The 21,884-nt window shown below is 39.9% G+C and overlaps 1 protein-coding gene across 9 annotated transcripts in view; it reads left to right on the forward strand.

Moving 5' to 3' along the window:
- ANKFN1 (ankyrin repeat and fibronectin type III domain containing 1) overlaps window positions 1-21,884 on the forward strand; it is a 470,940-nt gene that overhangs the window by 146,695 nt on the left and 302,361 nt on the right. For 2 of the 9 annotated variants that reach the window (XM_017024263.2, XM_017024265.3), the window contains exon 3: window positions 13,715-13,807. The exons of 6 other annotated variants lie outside the window; for them this stretch is intronic. In XM_017024263.2, coding sequence (XP_016879752.1) covers window positions 13,724-13,807 — 84 coding nt within the window. In that variant the 5' untranslated portion in view covers window positions 13,715-13,723. Of the gene's footprint in view, window positions 1-13,714; window positions 13,808-19,826; window positions 19,909-21,884 lie in introns of all 9 variants that reach the window. One more of the 9 variants, NM_001370326.1, reaches the window with a different exon arrangement.

Raw genomic sequence — 21,884 nt, forward strand, 5'->3', positions numbered from 1 at the left:
GGAGAAATAGGAACACTTTTACACTGTTGGTGGGACTGTAAACTAGTTCAACCATTGTGGAAGTCAGTGTGGCGATTCCTCAGGGATCTAGAACTAGAAATACCATTTGACCCAGCCATCCCATTACTGGGTATATACCCAAATGACTATAAATCATGCTGCTATAAAGACACATGCACACATATGTTTATTGTGGCATTATTCACAATAGCAAAGACTTGGAACCAACCCAAATGTCCAAAAATGATAGACTGGATTAAGAAAATGTGGCACATATACACCATGGAATGCTATGCAGCCATAAAAAATGATGAGTTCATGTCCTTTGTAGGGACATGGATGAAATTGGAAACCATCATTCTCAGTAAACTATCGCAAGAACAAAAAACCAAACACCGCATATTCTCACTCATAGGTGGGAATTGAACAATGAGATCACATGGACACAGGAAGGGGAATATCACACTCTGGGGACTGTGGTGGGGAGGGGGGAGGGGGGAGGGATAGCACTGGGAGATATACCTAATGCTAGATGACGAGTTAGTGGGTGCAGCGCACCAGCATGGCACATGTATACATATGTAACTAACCTGCACAATGTGCACATGTACCCTAAAACTTAAAGTATAATTAAAAAAAAAAATACAGCTAGTATAATGTAAAAGTGCATAATTTATTTGTAGCGTTTTTAAAAAAAAACAAAAAAAATACAGCTAGTATAATGTAAAAGTGCATAATTTATTTGTAGCGTTTTAAAAAAAAATACAGCTAGTATAATGTAAAAGTGCATAATTTATTTGTAGCGTTTTAAAAAAAAAAAAAAGAATCTAGACACAGACCTTACACATTTCACAAAAATTAACTCAAGATGGATCACAGACCCAAATAAAAAGCATAACACTCCCAGAAGATGCATAGGCAAAAATGTGGATGGTCTTTGATTTCACAATGACTTTTTAAATGCAATACCAAAGGCACAATTCATGAAAGAAAATATTGATAAGCCAGACTTCATTAAAATTAAAAATTTCTGCTCTGCAAAAGATACTGTCAAAAGAATGAAAAGACAAGCCACAGACTTGGAGAAAATATTTGCAAAAGACATATCTGATAAAGGATTGTCATCTGAAATAAAGAAATCTTAAAACCCAATGAGAAGAAAACATACAAGTTTATTTAAAAAATGAGGCAAAGATCTTAACAGATACCTCACCAAAGAAGATATACAGATGGCAAGTGAGCACATGCAGAGGTACTCCATGTCTTTTGTCACTAGGGAACGAAAATTAAAGCAATGATATACCACTGTACACCTATTTAGAATGGCCAAAATCCAGAATGCTGAGAACATCAAATGCTTGTGGGGATGTGGAGCAATAGGAACTCTATTCATTGCTGACAGCAATGCAAGCCATCGTGGAAGACAGTTTGGTGATTTCTTACAAGACCGAACATACTTTTGCTGTACTACCCAGCAATCACACTTCTTGGTATTTATCCTAAGGAGTTGGAAACTTATATCCACACAAAAACCTGCACATTGATTTTTATAGCAGCTTTATTTATAATTGCCAAAGGTTGAAAGAAACCAAGACATCCTTTAGTTTGTGAGTGGAAAAACTGTGGTACATCAGGCAATGGGGTATTATTTAATACTAAAAGAAATGAGCTCACAAGTCATGAAAAGACATGGGGAAACCTAAATATTTATTACTAAGTAAGAAAAAGGCAACATATTGTATGATTCCAACTATATGACTTTCTGGAAAAGGCCGAACTATGAAGACAGTAAAAAGATCAGTGGTTGCCAGTGGTTAGCAGGGTGGGAAGGATGATTAAGCAGAGCACAGAGGATTTTTAGGTAGTAATACTCTGTATGATACTATAGTGTTGGATACACATTAATACATGTGTCTTAAACCCACAGAATATACAACACTGAGAGTTAACCCTAATGTAAACTGTAAACTTTGGGTGATAATGATGTGTCAATGTTCATCAATTGTAACAAATGCACCACTCTGGTGAGGGGGGCTAGGCAGGTGTGTGGGCAGAGGATATTTGGGAAATCCCTGTACCATCTATCAATTTTGCTGTGAATCTAAAACTACTCTAAAAGATAAAAATCTATTTAAAACAAAAAACAACAATATAGATGAGCCATCCTTTCCCTCCTTCCTATCATTCATCTCTGTTCTCTATGACTCATGTAGACAACTGAAGATGTTTCATGAACGAAAGAGGGGAGAAGAAACAGAAGACACCTTAGGAGCAGGCACATGAGTTGCATCTCTTAGCTCCCTTTTTTGCATTACAATGAATATTTGATCAACCTATTTGAACAGTTCACCCTAAGAGCATTAATATTCCTTTGGCCTTCAAACTCCTCCATCTAGATTGGCATCTTCCTTGGCCCTTTCGGAAGTTGAATGGCTTTTTTGGTGCTCCCATGCACTTTGCACACAATACAAATAGAACATTTACCATTTTGAATGTTAAAAACTAACTTGTAATCCAGAAATCATGTTTTCTCCCTCTCTAGACTCTATGCTTCTCGAAGACTGTGTTTAATTCATCTCTGCCTATTCAAGGGTCTACCTAGCTCCTGCAGGCAAGTCCTTGGTAAATGTATATGGGACGAGTGCGTTATAGAGGATTTTATTTTACACAATCACAGGTCCAGAGGCAAATTCAGTTCTTACTGGTTCCCCTTTCTTGGCCTCCATCTCTAATTGCCTTATTTCCTCCATGTCATTGTCTCTAACCCTGGTGTCAAACAGCCAATCTTTACTTAAACAACTAGCTCTGTAGGAAAACCCAGGACCCAGAAGGAAGTAGATGCTTATATACTCAAAGCAAAAAGAATAACTCTGAGCCCATTTCCTTCTCCTCATCAAGTAAACTCTCAAGGGTCTATGACAGCAGCCAGACTGAGGGCAAATGACTTAAAGTATCACTCAGCGTATTATTCTCTTTGCTCTGCGAGTTCCTACAGCTTTTCAGCTTCCATTCCATAACAGGGCATGTATCTTTATTGATGATGTTCCCATGTACTTAAATAAGAAGAAAAAATAAAATAAGGAGAAAAAATAAAAAAGCTCAGGCATAGTATATATATATGCCACATTACAGCATAATTAGTTCCTCCCTCAAATATTTTAACACTACTTATTAACATAAAAAGGGATACTTAAGAGAAAAGATGATATCAAGTAAAGCATTCAAAATGTGAAGTTATGGGCCTTCTCACCTTGGAAGGCTGAGGCAGGAGGATCGCTTGAGACCAGGAGTTTGAGACCAGCCTGGACAACATGGCAAAACCACATCTCTGCAAAACAATACAAAAATTAACCAAGTATGGTGGCTCGTGCCTGTAGTCCCAGCTACTTGGGAGGATTGACTTGAGCCCAAGAGGTTGAGGCTGCAGTTATCCATGATTGCACCACTGTGCTCCAGCTTAGGCAACAGAACCCTGTCTCAAAAAAGGCAAAACAACCACCACCACCACAACAAAAGTGAAGTCATGACACCATTTAGGGGACATGTAGATATAAAGAATTATTGTTTCCTCCAGGTACTCAGTCAAGTAATTCTACTAGGGAATCAAGTATGAGAATTGAAGGTTTAATCAGAGTTGCAGCCAGGAGGACTGGATCAAGTGCCTTTCAATCCTGAGAAAGGGCCAGGCGTGGTGGCTCACATCTGTAATCCTAGCACTTTGGGACACCAAGGCAGGAAGATCGCATGAAGCCAGGAATTCTAGACCAGTCTGGGAAACATAATGAGACCCCTGTCACTACAAAATTTTTAAAAAAAAATTTAGCAGAGCATGGCACCACATACCCTGTAGTCCTGGCTACTCAGGAGGCTGAGGTGGGAGGACTGCCTGAGGCCAGGAGTTTGAGGTTGCAGTGAACTATTAATGCATGACTCCACTCCAGCCTGGGTGACAGAGCAAGACCCTGTCACAAAGAAAAAAACAAAAAATCCTGAGAAGGAAGATTCCCTGATGCTCTTTTTCATTTTGAGCTGCCATAGCTGTTCTGGTGCCTGATAGAATATTAAGGACTTGGGAAGAAGTTATGGCCCATCAGAAAGGTCATGCACATTGTGTCATGCAAATGACCCTTTCTAACCTGGCAATTTGAAATCCTAATGTGAGCAGGTCTAAGTGTGTCTTGATTTGAATTGTGTCGGTATTTACTTCACTGACACAACTTTACTATTGGATATTTCCTAGTACTTCATAAAAAACACTTTTGTGCTTGTTCAAATGAAAGAAGATTTGTCTCCCAGGAAAACCATTTAAACATGTAGAGGCTGCAATCTCATTTTCGAATATTAGGTTTCATTTTATGACATATCATGCTGTTTAGTACAGCGTATCTATATTAAAAAGCATGAACAAGTCAGCCTTGTTCTGTTCCATTCCTGTCCCTCTCTAATGTACATTTATAAAAACACAGACCTATCTGATTCTGCACACACTGTACAATATTTTATCGATTACAGTGGAACTTAGTTATATCATGTTTCCAGAGACTGAGAAAAGAAAACATAGAAAGTAGGAAACACTGAATTTGATTATGCTAGGCGTGGAGTTTAAAAGACCTGAATTGTGGGGAGGTCTTGTATGTGGGAATAATAAAAATAGGTTTTACTAAAAACTACCCTTTTACAAACCATCGGATGGAGGTGTCCCTAGTGTATTCCTTTGTGTCTAGACACATAGTACACACAGCAAATTCCTAGGGAGGCTGCTGTTAGTTTCCATTTTCTTCTGCATTTTCCTCACTGCTAAACTTTAGTTAGGCTCCTGGCGTCTCTGGATGATTATTCCAATGGTCTTCTAACTAACCTGCTGACTGCAGGAACTCTCTCCTCAGTTAGCAAATGCTCTGAAAAGGACAAATCCCCTTAAAAACACTTTGTCTTCTGACTACCTGGATTTATATCCTTCAAAGACTTTTAAACCAAGTGGAAAATAATTTACATCCAAAGATCAGCTAAACCAGCAGTCCCCAACCTTTCTTGCACCAGGGACCAGTTTCGTGGAAGACAATTTTTCCATGCACAGGGGTGTGGGAAGGCAGAGGATGCCTGTGATATGTGCCTGTAGTTCCAGCTACTCAGGAGGCTGAGGTGGGAAGAGTGGTCGAGCCCAAGAGGTCGAGGCTACAGTGAACCATGATCGTGCCACTGCACTCCAGCCTGGGCAACAGAAGGAGACTGTCTCAGAAAAGACAAAACAACCCTAATGTGAACTGTGCATGTGAGGGATCTAAGTTGCACATTCCTTATGAGAGTCTAATGCCTGATGATCTGAGGTGAAGCAGTTTCAGGATGATTACAGTGGAACTTAGTTGTACTGTGTTTCCAGAGACTGAGAAGACAAAACATAGAAGTTAGGAAACACTGAATTTGATTGTGCTAGGCACAGAGGTTAAAATACCTGAATTGTGGGGAGGTCTCGTATATGGGAATAATAAAAATAGGTTTTACTAAAACTACCCTTTTACAAACCATTGGACAGTTTCAGGATGAAACTGTTCCACCTCATGACCTCGATCTCTCACATGCACTGTTCACAGTAGGGTTGGCGCTCCTGTGAGAATCTAATGCCGCTGCTGATGTGACAGGAGGAAGAGCTCAGGCAGTAATATGAGTGATGGGGAGTGACTATAAATAGATGAAGCTTTGCTTGCTCACCCACTGCTCACCTCCTGCCGTGTGGCCCCATTCCTAATAGACCACCCACCAACAGGTACCAGTCTGCAGCCTGGGGGTTGGGGACCCCTGAGCTAAACATTTGTCCTTATTTTCTTCTTTTTGGTTTTATTTCCACATTTCACTCTTTAGTGTATCTGAAAATTAGTGTTTTCTATGAGGTAAAAATTACCATTTTTTCTCCCAATATTCAACTATTTATAACGCCTTTTCTTAGGTGATCCTTTCCTTCCCCGCTGATCTGTATTTTCTCCCATGTTGTGTAAGGAGATGTTTCAGACACCTGGGTCTGTTTCTGGGCTCTCAGCTCCATTCTGTTGTCTTCCTGCCTATTCCTTCCCAAACACAACTCTGATGTAAGGAATGTAGCTTTGGGAATGTTTTAATGTCAGGTAGGGATCGCTACCACCTTCTCTAATCCTTCTTCTTAATAATTATTTAGCTCTTCTTGGTAACTTGTTCTTGCAGATAAATGTTAGAATCATTTAGGAGTTCTGGATATATTCCACTGAGATCTTGGTTGAAATTTCATTAATACTAAAAAATAAATTTTGAGAAAATTTATGTCTTTACAATATTTGCTCTGCTCATATGAGAATATGGCATGGCCCCCATCTTTTCATCTGCTTTTACGTCTCTGCTAAATTTTTTCCTATAAGTCCTGCACATTTTGTGGTTTTGTAGTTTACCTATAGTTGCTTTATGTTTTTTGTTGATAATCCAAATACAATTTTTCCCATTACGTTTTCTAGCTCGTTATTGCTGTTACAAAAAAAAAAAAAAAAAGACACAGACTTTTAAATGTTTATTTCATACTTTATGACCTTACTGAACTCTCTTCTATTCCAACATTTTTTTCAGTCAATTCTTATGGGATTTTTAAGAAGATATTTTCTGAAAATAATGATTTTCTTTTCTCTTTTCCAATACGCAAAGGTCATGCTCTTCATTTCTGCTCTGGTTTTCATTACATTGGCCTGAACTTCCAGAACAATATGAAATCACAAAATCAATTTTGATCTCCCAACTTTGATGTTTCTCTCTCCCCAGCCCAGCCCCTAAATATCCTCCTTTTCCTGGCATTTGATTTGACTCCACTTAGTGCATTCCAGCATCTCTCTGTGTCTTGGAAAAGAGCTCCCTTTTCTAACACTCACCCCATGAACTTCATCCTCTAGTCTGTCGAGGTGTACCAGGCAGGGTCGCCAGATAAAATTGAGGACACCCAGTGAAATCTGAATTTTCGATAAACAACAAATACGCTTTTAGTATAAATGTGTCCCATGCAATCTTTGGAACACATTTATACTAAAAACCTATTTGTTGTTTATCTGAAATTTAGATTTCACTGGGAATCCTGTGTTTTTCTTTGGTAAATCTGGCAACCCTAGTGCCAGTTCCAGTTCCTAAGCCAAGTTCACATCTGGGATCACACATCTCTATGCACATTTGTCTATTATCATTTTGTTAATATTCTGCTATAATGATATGTTCATTTGCTACTTCATATCCTACGAAGCTACTGGCAGCTGATGTATCCTAGGCATTTGGTTGTTAAATGAATTTTCAAAATGCATGAATGATGGCAAGCAGATCATCAACTCTTGAGTATTACTGGAACACATAAACTGTAAAATGTTTTGAGGCTTAAGTAGAGGAACAAACAGGTGTGAATGAGTTTACTAACTGCCAAAGAATCCAAGAAAAAGAGAAAAGTACAGCCAGTTTTTAAAATTTTCAAAAGTGGAATTTTATTTAAATTCAGAAGATAAGTGAGTATATCACTTCATCGTTTTATTATTAGAAAGAACCATGAGCACTGAAATGGAATCAAGAGACCCAGAATCTAATTCTGACTCTGCCATGAATTGGCTATTTGGCCATGCACAAGTCACTTCAACTTCCTGGTTTTAGTTGCTTCATCCATAAAACAAGACCATTGGAATAGGAGTGGTTATCAAGCATTGTTTTAGCGGTGAGGTCCTTAGAAATGAAATATTACACAGAACCTCAACATCTAATGCAGATAAAAGAGAGCAATTCTATTTGAAGAAGATGCAGCACGTCCAAGGTCCCCCAGCTCAACTCCCTCTTGCCCTTCGGAGTGGCCCCTTAAGGAACTCTGTAGAACATTGGACACCCTTGGGCTGTACAGTCTTCAAGACCAGCGTCCCAATCTGCTTTGACATATGTACATGTTACTGTAGTATAATAATCAGGTACAGATTACCTGAGAAGATATAGGCATATAGATATATAGAGAGTAACATCTCAAGTAACCAGTGCTTGATATCTACTCTTGATTCCTCTTTGATGAAGCAGAGGCAATCTATTAGTCTGAAGTCATCCCAATCCTCTATAGCTACAGTCTCATTTAATGAAAATAGTTAGTCATAGCGATGATCAAGGTCATCAGAAGATTCTGAAGCATTGCATAAAAGGATTAATTTCTGTGGTATGCTAGATTTCTCCTTGCATCTCTCCAGAATAGCCCCAGTGGGTAGGACTACTGCAATCATCTTCTAATGGTGGAGCCCTCACAGTCCAATCTCTTTGCCTCCTCAAGAGTGACCCTTTCTAAATGACCACCCCATCATGTCACACACATTGCAGCCTTCCCACCATTACTGTTGCCTTTCATTGCTCTTAATATAAAATGAACAGCCTTCAGTGAAACTCACCCAGTCCTGGATACCTCTCAAGCACTCTCTCTCTAGCCAGGATGCTCCTCCTCAAACCCACCATAGTTCCTCCCACCATCAAGCCTTTACATCGCTGTTCTTCTACCTAGAAAACTATTCCCTCCTCTCTTTTCCAAGTTAACACCAACTCATCCAGCAGACCTTTGTTTGAGCGCTCCTTTCTCAGCTGTAAGTAGACTGCCTTATTGTACACTGTCATAGTGGCCCATATCCTCACAATCACTTGTTATCATTGTATATCCATGCTTGTTCATATGATTGTTTGATTAATGTCTATCTTCTTTACAAAACTATAAACTGTAAACCCCATAAGAATCCAGCAGCACAGTGTCTGACATATAATGTATCCTTAATAAATACTTATTGATTAAATTACTTATGAGATAGAAAAATGTGTTCATACCTTTTACAAAGATTTGCCACAAGAGTTAAGAACTAAGGAGTGCTTTAGCTGATCGAATGTTATTTGTGAAAAAAAAAAAAATTAGCTATTCAGTATATCTAATTCTCTATATATCTGTAATCGTTGTGACTTAATGTTTTATTCATACCAGCCACAAGTGGGGAAAGACTACTCTAGCGTTTTTAACACAGAAAATTTAATAAAGTATTTTCACAGGGGTAAAACCACTGAAAAACTAAATAGGAGACCATAAGGCAACTCGCAAATTAGCAATAGCAGAAAACTACCACTACCCCTGCACTGGAAGAAGAAATAAACTAGGTCCATCCAGTGGGCACTGAGACCATGGTGGGAGGATATGTCCATGGGAGCCAGAGCACAGAGGAAAAACTGCTTCTGCCAGAGATGCTTCTGGAGGCAAAGTGCAAAGGGCAGAAATGTCCTATCTTCCCCATTCATCCAGTCCTTTAATCTTTTCCAACCCTTTTCCAGAGGCCAGAAGGCAAAGTAGCCTGGGAAGCGATTACACTTGATATACAACAGAGCAGCGGGAGAGTTGGAAATGGATGTGAGCTCAAAGAAACAGTTAACCCTCATGGTACCCAGAGTAAATTATATAATCAGCAATAGTATCACATCCAAGAGTTACTGAATTAGTACCTAAGTGATTAGTAAGAGTCAAAGACTTTCTCCTCCTCAGCCTAGCCTAGAGCAGGGCTTTCCTAACTCATCTCCATGCCTCCAGTCTGGGTGGCTTTTGTATGGTTACCAGCATAATCTTCCTAAAATACTTGTATGCACAGAGAGGACACTAGTGGGGGCCTTCTTAGGTTCTCCACAGTTTGTGGAATATTGAGGAAACTTCTTATCCTAGCATTGCTAGCCTTCCAGTCTGCCCCTACTCTCCTCTCCAATTAACCTATGTATGATGAACCAAAGAAGCCCATACATCACCCATGCTCTTCCTGTTCCATTTCCCCCCTCCACACCCTTTTCACCATTCACCTATTCATCTTTTGGGGACCAATAAATATTCTGCCTCCTCCAAGAAGATATCCTTGATTTCATCAGCTCAGATGAAGTGATTCATAATGGAAGAACATGGATTTGTATAGGGATTTGTAGATTGTCCTTTATAATAGGGGGTAGATACCATGAAGTGTCCATATATTAGAATATTCTGGAACTGTTCAAAAAGGTTTTGAAAAAAATATAATGATGCGAAAGAATGCTCATTATCATCCAACTGTAAAAAGTAAAAAATCAAAACTGTATTTATACTTTTTTAAAATACATACACATGCATACACACATAAAATACTAATGAGAAATGTTAGCTAAAATAACCCTTATTATTTTGGGGTCAGGGAATTTTGAGTTACTATCACTGTTGTCTTTTTAGATTTCTGTGGTATCTAAACTTTCTGTAACTGCTCTGCTTTTATTATGAAGGAAAATAAATAAAAGATACGATGAACATGGACTTTGGATACACACAGGCCATTTCAGACTTTGATGAATACTCTCTCTCTTAATTCATACCATGATATAGGTAATCTACTGTAAGTTTCCAGGGACATTTTTTATTTTTATGAATATATCATCATTCTGAAGGTCTCCCTAAATATCTAAGATCTCCACGGGACATACATACATCTTAGGCCTTTTCATCCCCAGTGCCTCAAATTGTAGTGCACACATCCCACACTTTTAATAAGGGACATAATGAAGACATCTCCTTTCCCCGTCCATCTCCTGTGCCCATTCACATCCATCGTCAGGTGATGCTCCCCTCATGGTGCTTTTCCGACTGCCCTAGCCAAGTCTAGGCCCTCAATATTCATTCCTGATCTCTAGGACTTTGATCTCCGTGGCCAGTCTCCAAACTGCCCATCATACTGTGTTCAGCTTCATTTTCCTAAAACATGACCTCAGGGACTGAGGGAATGCCCACCATCTTGAGCCGGACTGGTTGCCATGCCAGAGGGCAAACAGTTTCCAGAGTCTTGCCTCAGCAAATGAATGAGCTGTCAAGGAAGTAACTTCCTGCTCTTCGTGTTTGCTCTTTACTCATTGGCTAGAACTAGTCATGTGATTTCATTCATGTACAAACGAGTCAGGAAGTCAGCTCTCCGTGTACCTAGAAGCTGGAGAGACAGAAATGTTGGCAAAGAATGTAAGTAACTATTATGAGGCTCAATAAAAGTTGGATATTGGTTTAAAATACAAGTTAGGCATAATCTAGCCCGGGGCATCTATTTTTATTAAAAAAAGATATAACTAGCAAAGGAAGCTCGTAGTGGGATATAAATTGGGAGGAAGAGGGGCAAGAAATGGGCAAACTTTCAGACTATGCCTGCTTTTTCCCTGAAATGATATCTTAATGGTCCCCCTTAGGAAATCAGGCACTGTTTGTTTGTTTGTTTGTTTATATTAAATTAATTAATTAATTAATTTTTTAGAGACAGAGTCTCACTCTGTTGCTCAGGCTGAAGTGCAATGGCACGATCTCGGCTCACCGCAACCTCTGTCTCCTGGGTTCAAGTGATCCTCCTGCCTCAGCCTCCTGAGTAGCTGGGATTACAGGTGCCCGCCACCACACCTGGCTAGTTTTTGTATTTTTAGTATACCTGGGGTTTCACCATGTTGGCCAGGTTCGTCTCGAACTTCTGATCTCAGGTGATCTGCCCGCCTCGGCCTCCCAAGTGCTGGGATTACAGGCATGAGCCACCACGCCCAGCCTATTTTTATTTTTGAGACAGAGTTTTGCTCTGTCGCCCAGGCTGGAGTGAAGTGGCATGATCTCAATTCACTGCAACTTCTGCCTCCTAGGTTCAAGTAATTCTCCTGTCTCAGCCTCCAGAGTAGCCGGGATTACAGGCGCCCACTACCACGCCCAGCTAATTTTTGTGTTTTTAGTAGAGCTGGGGTTTCGCCATGTTGGCCAGGTTGGTCTCGAACTACTGACCTCAAGTGATCTGCCCACCTCGGCCTCCCGAAGTGCTGGGATTACAGGCACAAGTCACTGTGCCTGGCTCAGGCACTGTTTATGATCATACATTACGGATTGGAAACCACTGTCATAATATAGACATTTCAAAATCAATGTCAAACCCTTTTTGTGAGCTTTGCCCCTGTACCTCCTCCCCATCCGTAATCCCAGCACCACTGGTTTTAAAAACTTTGTACTGGCTGGGCGCGGTGGCTCACGCCCGTAATCCCAGCACTTTGTGAGGCCGAGGTGGGCGGATCACGAGGTCAGGAGATCGAGACCATCCTGGCTAACACGGTGAAACCCCGTCTCTACTAAAAACACAAAATAATTAGCCAGGCGTGGTGGCGGGTGCCTGTAGTCCCAGCTACTCGGGAGGCTGAGGCAGGGGAATGGTGTGAACCCGGGAGGCGGAGCTAGCAGTGAGCCAAGACTGCACCACTGCAACTCCAGCATGGGCGACAGAGCGGGACTCCGTCTCAAAAACAAAACAAAACAAAACAAAACAAAAACTTTGTATTATACCCTTCTTGGCTCCATTCTCCTAAATCAAGATTTCCTTGGCTGCAGAAGGAGGCTTGCAAATCACTGTGATTTCAGGACTGAATGAAGAGTTTATTTCTCCGTGGTACAAAGGGGTGACTACCCAGTCTTGTTCCCCAAAGCACTCTTCAGATCAAAGACATTAGCTGAGCTACTGAAGTATTAATTAGCGGGTACAATTGTCAAAAATTAGTTTTTGTGTGAACCAATTAAAACAAAATAATTGGGAGTTGTCAGCACTTCTAAATATTTATAAAAGTTGATGCAAATATTTATTTACATATCATCTGTTTGCAATTTTTATTGCTCCTGCTCTCTGCAAAGTTACTCATAAGCCGTTAGATCCTTTCTCTTGATACTTAAATTAAAACCTAAACTTATTCTACTCAACTGACAGAAAGCTAAAATATTTTTGTTTGAATTCATTTGACAATGTGTATTTTTGGCAGTGTGTTTATATTCCTCATTTATAACGAAAAGTGATACTATAGCCATCCCTTCAAGGAGAAATTTCTGATTTTTTTTTCATAGCCAATTCATTCTATTTTTCCATGTGGTATTCATTAAGTCATTCTCAACTTTGTTGATTTTCATTATATCTATAGAGTGTTAAAATTTCTTTCACACTTCTGCAATTGGTTAGCAATATTAGGCCGCTTTGCTTGACATCTTTTATTGTGCATCAAATCTACACTAGTCCTGAAATATCAAGAAATGTCAGAATCTCTTGGTTAATAATCCCTCCCCTACAGGAGAAGTAATCACCCTTTCCTCTTCATACATCCTCTATCAGATCACAAGTCTCTTCATCACCTCAAAGCATGCTTCCATCCACATTTTCCCTGCCATTTTGAAATTTATTTTTCTGCTTTTCCTGTCTTTGAGAAATAAAGATCCTCATGACTTTATAATGTTAACATTTGCATTAAAATACTTAAAGCTGATGAAGTTTATTATTCCTATTATATATTAAATTTAAATTCATGATAAAAAATTTTGGAGAAAATGCCCACCACTTACCAATAGCCCTAGTATATATTTCAGTGTATTTCCATTTATAGTTTTGTCTGTATATAGTATTTTATTTGCTATGTTTTCGTGTAATTGTCATATTATTATCTATTCAATTTTCTTCTGCTTTATTTTCCATTATATCATGAGCTTTTCCTCCAAGTAATTACAACTGTTCATAAAGTTCTCCCCTCCCCATGGCCCATGATTACATGATAGTCCCTTAGTAGATGGATGTATACAGTTTAGTTGAGCAGTCTCTTACTAGATTTGAGAAGCACAGGATGGAGTTTGTTGCCTGAATCTAACTATTCAACCCCCTCTTTCTGCTGGTAGGAAATATGCATGAAGAACGGCAAAGAAGACAATGGGATGGAAAGTACCGGGCCCACACTGTGGTTATCAGCTATGGATCACAGTGTTATCTGGGTGAGAAGGGTTGGCAGAAACACCTGGAAAAAAGAGAAAATGTTTTTGGTTTCAGTTTCGTAAGAATGCTGGTCTAGCATTCGTGACCTGGGAGCATAAATAATTGAACATAGAAATTTTGTGCCAAGCGATATGAAGAAATTAATACTATCCCCGTGCTTCCCATATCCTTTGGCAAGAGATGGGGATGGGCCCATGCATCCTGTTTCCTTTCTCCCAGACTGGCCTTTGAGACACTCCTCTCTACTTGCAAAGTTAAGAAATTTCAAAGGTGGCCTGTGTCTCTGGGTCTTCTTGTGACTCAGTTCTATGCTATACATTTTAATGTTTTTAATTTCCATTCCAGGTTTGAGCCCTACATGTTGCCCCCTCCTCAATGCTCAATCAAGGGTAGGTTTTTACAATAGCCCAGCATCCTCTACCTCTCAGAGCAGAGTGCCCCAAGAGGGAGAGGCCCCTGTCTAAGCAAGGTGCATGGTTGTGCCTTCCCCAGAGTTTCAATCTTGTTCTACTTTTTATATTTCTCCATCTGCAGCAGAATCACAGGAGGCAGTATCTATTGTCTTTGCTTCCTACACTGGAATTCTGTAGACTAGTGCTTCTCAAAATGTGTCCCCTGAACAGCAGCATCAGCATCACCTGGGAGTTCATTAGAAAAGCAGATTCTCAAACTGCTTGCAGACCTATTGTATCAGATACTCTGAAGCTGGGGCCCAGCAATCTGGATTTTGACAAGCTCTTCAGGTGATCCTAATGCACACTGTGTTTGAGAACCACTGCTGTAGTCATGTCTTTGAGTGATGCACCTCCTCTGCTGGTGTAGTTATCTCAACAGATCTTCCAACTGAAGCTCTTACGGATGCAGCTGCAGCTGGCTTGCTTAGGTAGGCATTCCATCCTCTACCATGTGCTTTTCCTTTCCTTGGTCCTTAAATCTCCAGGCCTTGATTGAATTATGCTACTTCATTGATAGCCAGAACATTCATCTCTGCCACCTTCATTCCTATTGCAGTGGCAAATGCCTCTGCTGTTTCATTTGTCTTCTCATTCTCCACTCTTTTCAGACAAACTCAGCTGTTTGTAAAGGTGTAATATTCTTCCTAATTTGGCTCCCTCCCTTTTCCATATATGGTGCTAATACCCTCGCTGGATCATAGCACCTCTCTCCTTTTTCTTTCTCTTTCTCTTTGCTTTTCATCCCCATTCATTTGTTTTCATCATGACACTATTCCAGATTTTGTCCTTTTAGATCCTCCTTAATAATAGATGTGAAGCCAGTAACTTCAGAAGCTGCCAAAATATCCATAGTTTAAGCAAATCTTGTCCACGTCTAACTCTCCAAGCAGGATACTTGTACCCATCAGCGCAAAATCTGACTCCATCTGGACCCAAATATTGTAGCCCAGACTGGCTTTCCTTAGTCAAGATTTCTATTTTTTCTTATTTGAGACAGAGTCTCACTTGCTCTGCACCCAGACTGGAGTGCTGTGGAGCGATTTTGGCTTGCTGCAACCTCCACCTCCCGGGCTCAAGCAATTCTCCTGCCTCAGCCTCCAGAATAGCTGAGTCTACAGGCACATGCCGCCAAGCCTGGCTGATTTTTTATATTTTTAGTAGAGATGGGGTTTCACCATGTTACCTGACCAACACCAGGCTGGTCTTAAACTCCTGACCTCAGGTGATCCACCTGCCTTGGCCTCCCAAAGTGCTGGGATTACAGGCATCAGCCACCATACCCGGCCGTTAGACAAGGTTTCTCAATCTCAGCACTACTGACGTTTTGGACTAGATAATTCTTTGTTGTATGTGCATTATAGGATTTTTAGCAGGCAGTAACTTCACCCCCTCCCTGCCCCTCAAAATCCTGATTATCAAAAAATGTCTCCAGACATTGGCAGCTGTCCCCCGGGGATAAGGTGCAAAATCTCCTAGGGGTAAAGCCAGTGCCTTAGTCTGTCTATCTCATTCTCCCTGAACCTTCCATTAGAAGATTACCTGCATGCAGTTCCTCATGATATCCGCTGATCCTGCCTTACTGCTATAATAGCTGTGTCATCTTGGCACTAGTGAAATAATCCCTGAAAAATTTCACTCTGATCTTCCTGGTCATCCTTTATAGTCCAATACAAATTTTACATCCCTATTCAGTGTGGCTGTCCTATTCCTCAATGCAGCAGCTTTAAGAGTACATCTCCTAGTAGTCCCCCACATCTGGACAATCTTTCGGGACAGAGGTCTCCTTTCTTTTCTTTCTTTGCTTGTTGGATGTTTAGGCACCAGTCATGATGCCTCTTTTATTTTATTATTATTATTATTTTTTTTTAAGACAGAGTCTCGCTCTGTCACCAGGCTAGAGTAGCACGATCTCAGCTAACTGCAACCTCCGCCTCCTGGATTCAACCCATTCTCCTGCCTAGGCCTCCCGAGTTAGCTGGGACTACAGGCACATGACTTTAAGAGCATTTAAAACTTTTCAGGTTTATATCCTCCAACCTAGTCTCTAAAATAACAACATTTTTCCTAAAGAAGTAACTCCTTTTCTTCCATTCATCAAAGCATCTTCCATCATTTTTCTTTCATTTCCACCGGCTCGTGTTCTAAATACAAGATCAAAGCCTGTGGTTTAAACAATTCCATTCTTCCTTACCTCTCTGAGCAAATTTACCCTAGTGCTCTTATCCTATTGACACTATTTCAAAAGATAGAGAAAGAGGAAATCCTTTATAAATTGTTCTATGAAGCCAATATCACCCAAATACCAAAACCAGGAAAGGATTTAACAAAAAAAGAAAACTACAGATCAATATCCCTGATGATAGGATATCAATAGGATAACAGCACTAGGGTAAACTTACTTAGAAGGTTAAGGAAGAATGGAATTACCCTAGTGTCAAAGAGACAGATTGTCAAGAAAACAGCCTTTTAAATATACTTCTTGGCTGAATGCCTGAAGATAACAAACCAGGAGCCCCAATTCTCTTTAACCATTATCTGAAACAGAGTCTCCTAAATCAGAGGTCATAACCAGATATGCATTTAATAAATAATATCTTATATAAGAAATAAGCTGTATTGTTTTTAGGAGAGTGACTTTTTTTATTATTTCAATAGGCTTTTGGGGAACAGGTGGTGTTTGGTTATATGAATAAGTTCTTTAGTGGTGATTTCTGAGATTTTGGTGCACCATCAGCCAAGCAGTGTACACTGTACCCAATGTGTAGTCTTTTATCCCTCACCCCTCTCCCACCTTTTCCCCTGAGTGCCCAAAGTCCATTGTATCATTCTTATGCCTCGTGTCCTCATAGCTTAGCTCCCCACTTATGAGTGAGAATATACAATGTTTGGTTTTCCATTCCTGAGTTACTTCACTTAGAATAATGGTCTCCAGTTCCATCCAGGTTGCTGCAAATGCCGTTAATTCATTCCTTTTCATGACTGAGTAGTATTCCATGATATGTATATTATAGATAGATAGATAGATACATAGATAGATAGATAGATAGATAGATAGATAGATAGATAGATAGATAATGTATGCATCACATTTTCTTTATCCACTTGTTGACTGATGGACATTTGGACTTGTTCTATATTTTTGCAATTGCGAATGGTGCTGCTATAAACATGCATGTACAAGTATCTTTTTTGCATAATGACTTCCTCTGGGTAGATACCTAGGAGTGGGATTGCTGGATCGGGATGGTTTATTGACTTTTAGTTCTTTAAGGAATCTCTACACTTTTCCATGGTGATTGCACTAATTTACATTCCCACCAACAGTGTAAATGTGTTCCCTTTTCACCACATCCATGCCAACATCTATTATTTTTTGATTTGTTGATTATGGCCATTCTTGAAGAAGTGGGGTGGTATCACATTGTGGTTTTGATTTACATTTCCCTGATAATTCATGATGTTAAGCATTTTTTTCATATGTTTGTTGGCCATTTGTATATCTTCTTTTGACAAATGTCGATTTATGTCCTTAGCCCACTTTTGGATAGGATTGTTTTTTTCTTGCTGATTTGTTTGAATTATTTGTTGTATTAGTCCATTCTCATGCTGCTATGAAGAAATATCTGAGATTAGGTAATTTATAAAGAAAAGAGGTTAATTGACTCAGAGTTCTGCATGTCTGGAGAGGCCTCAGGAAATCTACAATCATGGCGGAAGGCACCTCTTCACAGGGTAGCAGGAGAGAGAATGAGAGCCAGCAAGGGAAATGCCAGACACTTATAAACCCATCAGATCTCATAAGAATTCACCATCACAAGAACAGCATGGGGGAAACCGCCCCCTTGATTCAATTACCTCCCATCGGGTCCCTCCTATGATACATGGTGATAATGGGGATTACAATTCAAGATGAGATTTGGGTGGGGACACAGAGCCAAACCATATCACTTATAGATTCTGGATATTAGTACTTTGTCAGATGTATAGATTGCAAAGATTTTATCCCACTCTGTGGGTTTTCTGTTTACTCTGCTGATTATTTCTTTTGCTGTGCAGAAGCTTTTTAGCTTAATTAGGTCCCATCTATTTATCTTTGTTTTTGTTGCATTTGATTTTGGGTTCTTGATTATGAAGTCTTTGCCTAAGCCAATGTCTAGAAGGGTTTTTCCAAAGTTGTCTTCTAGAATTTTTACGATTTCAGGTCTTAGATTTTAGTCTTTAATCCATCTTGAGTTGATTTTTGTATAGGGTGAGAGATGAGGATCCAGTTTCATTCTTCTACATGTGGCTTGCCAATTATCCCAGCACCATTTGTTGAATAGGGTATCCTTTCCCTACTTTATATTTTTGTTTGTTTTGTCAAAGATCTGGTGAACGTAAGTATTTAGCTTTATTTCTGGCTTCTCAATTCTGTTCCATTGGTCTATATGCCTATTTTTTTTGTACCAATACCATGCTGTTTTGGTGACTATGGCTTTATACTATAGTTTGAAGTCAGGTAATGTAATATCTCCAGACTTGTTCTTTTTGTTTAGTCTTGCTTTGGCTATGCAGGCTTTTTTTGGTTCCATATGAATTTTAGGATTGATTTGTCTAGTTCTGTGAAGAACGATGGTGGCATTTTGATGGGAATTGCATTAAATTTGTAGATTGCTTTTGGCAGTATGGTTATTTTCACAATATTGATTCTACCAATCCATGAGCATGTGATGTGTTTCCATTTGTGTCATCCATGATTTCTTGCTGCAGTGTTTTGTAGTTTTCCCTGTAGAGGTATTTCACCTCCTTGGTTAAGTAAATTCTAAGTATTTTAATTTTTTTGCAGCTATTATAAAAGGGGTTGAGTTCTTGATTTGATTCTCGGCTTGGTCGCTCTTGGTGTATAGCAGAACTACTGATATGTGTACATTAATTTTGTATCCTGAAACTTTTCTGAATTCACTTACCAGTTCTAGGAGCTTTCTGGATGAGTCTTTAGGGTTTTCTAGGTATATGATCATATCATCAGCAAACAGTGACAGTTTGACTCCCTCAGTACTATGTTGAATAGAAGCAGCGAGAGTGGGCATCCTTGTCTTGTTCCAGTTCTCGGGGGAATGCTTTCAATTTTTCCCCATTTAGTATAATATTGGCTGTGGGTTTGTCATAGAAGGCTTTTATTACCTTAAGGTATGTCCCTTCTATGATGATTTTGCTGAGGGTTTTAATTATAAAGAGATGCTGGATTTTGTCAAATGCTTTTTCTGTGTCTATTGAGATCACCATGTACTTTTTGTTTTTAATTCTGTTTGTGTGGTGTATCACATTTATTGACTTGCAGATGTGAAACCATCCCTGCATCCCTGGTATGAAACCTACCTGATCATGGTGGATTATCATTTTGATGTGCTGTGGGGTTCTGTTAGCTAGGATTTTGTTGAGGATTTTTGCATTTATGTTCAACAGGGATATTGGTCTGTAGTTTTCTCTTTTTGCTATGTTATTTTCTGGTTTTGATATTAGGGTGATACCGGTTTCATACAGTAATTTAGGGAGGATTATCTCTTTCTCTCTTTTGGAATAGTGCCAATAGGATAAGAAATAAGCTGTATGAAGAAATCCAGTTTGAGACCAGGAGCCTGTGGGCAGGCTACATGAATGAGAAGGTTAGTTTTTCCGCAGTCCTCCTTGAGCCTATGCAACTCCATACAAAAGAAAAAGGAACCCAAGCTGGATCAGCTGAGCTAGTAGTTCCAGTGCCTAGCACTACACCCAAAGGCGCAAACCACTCGCTCTAGTTCTTTACCTTGCATGGAATTTAGCTGGTGTTTTTTTTGCTACTTGGTCCAAATAACACAACGTTGGTCTCAGCAGCACATTTACTACAAGTCATTGCTACCAAAGCAAGCCAGAAACTAAGACTGGCATTGCCCATTCATGCTAAAGCTGTTCACAATAGCTGTACCAAGAGCAGCAGCCTCACATCTGAAGTTCTTTGTATTTATTCCAGGCAGTGCACTAACTTATTAGGATTGAGATGCTAATCCTTCACCCCCTCTTCTTCACTAAATGGTATCAAAGTATCAACTTTATTGATAGCCAGGGAGTATCCAGTAACTTTAACATACAGAGCAGCTGGGACGCTTGACTAAAGAAGCCAGACCAGGGTTTCTAACTACCCTTCTCTGAATTGAAGAGGCTGGAGCTGGCACCAGAGCAATGTGACTCAACCATCCCGTCACAGGCTGAAAAGCTGGCCCCAAGACAGCAGGCCCCTGACTTGCAGCATTAACACAGGAACCCCGGTCTCTGTGCACACGAGCGGTGGCTGTAACCAACAAGCCTACCCCCTATAGAAACATGGCCCACGCTGGATGCCTGGTTTTTCACAGTCTAGTAAGACAATCTCCTCCTAGACAGAGGAGAAAGTAAAAGGGTGAAGAGAGAAGTCAGTCATTCTCACTTCACATCCCTCATTCATATGTGGGAGTGTGGAAGCCTCCACCTCAAGGAAAACAGAGGGAGGCAGGAGGAAGGAGAAACATTTCTCCCTCTTATCTATTTAAGCTATCTACACCTTTCCCCTGATTTAAGAAAGCTTTGCTATGTACCAGGTGCCATCCTAAGTGCTGCCCATAGAGTAACACATTTCAACTTTCTAACAATCTTGGGGGAAGACTAATATGATCTCTGGTTTACAAAGGAAATTGAGGATGAAGTAATTTGGGATTTCAGTCCACATAACTCTTACCCCAAAAGCTGTTCTTAAAGCAATAAGCACATGGCTATTTAATATATGCTGAAATCCCTTTGAGTTCACTTCAGTTCACTTAAACATTTCATATGTTAGGGATCGTACTGTGCCCAGGGAGGCAAAGGATGGGAGGACAGTCCTGAAGACTTGTTCTTAACATATATCCACACATCCCAAATGGACATTCTTGTGCCCCAGGAAGCAAGAGAGTAGTATGGCAGAAAGTTTAAAACTAGGGTGTCTCTTACTCCAGATGTAGGTATAAAAGATGGATTGAGTGACCTCAGTGGCAATTAATTTAAAACATTTTAGTATTAACACAAACTAGAATGTATTTGGGAGCAGAAGCACAATTAGCCTGTATTTATTAAGAGAATACATCAGACTTCACAAAAATGTGGGGAGGTCTCTTTGTCATATCCTGAAACCTCTAGGGATGTGCCTTTAACTCACCTCTGTTGTAGAGCTCTTTTAGTAGAAAACGTTTAGAGGAACCAAATGTGCGTTAATAAGAATACATCCAAGATACACAGTGATGATCTCTGTCTGAGATGGTGAAGCTTGAGGGTGGAGGACATCAAGAAAAGCTTCGCAGAGGGGCTGCTGCCTTTCTAAGCCAAAATTTGTCAAAGAGTAGGAAAAGCAAGTTTTGAAAATAGATAAGCCAGGAGTGTGGCCTGAGATAGTTACATCTCTGAGATTACATCTTTCTTGTATTAAAAAATGGGATGATGCTCCCTATTGCACAGGTGATTTGGAGATTCAAATTAGATAATGCATATGCCTCATACATACATGGTTAGCGAAAAAGAATGCTAGTGTCTCCCCCGTCATTCTTTCTTCAACTGCAGGTCCCACTAACTCCTCATTCTCTCTAACCTGGTTTCC

The sequence above is a fragment of the Homo sapiens genome, chromosome 17, assembly GCF_000001405.40.
Source record: "Homo sapiens chromosome 17, GRCh38.p14 Primary Assembly".
In the NCBI taxonomy this organism is placed as follows: domain Eukaryota; kingdom Metazoa; phylum Chordata; class Mammalia; order Primates; family Hominidae; genus Homo; species Homo sapiens.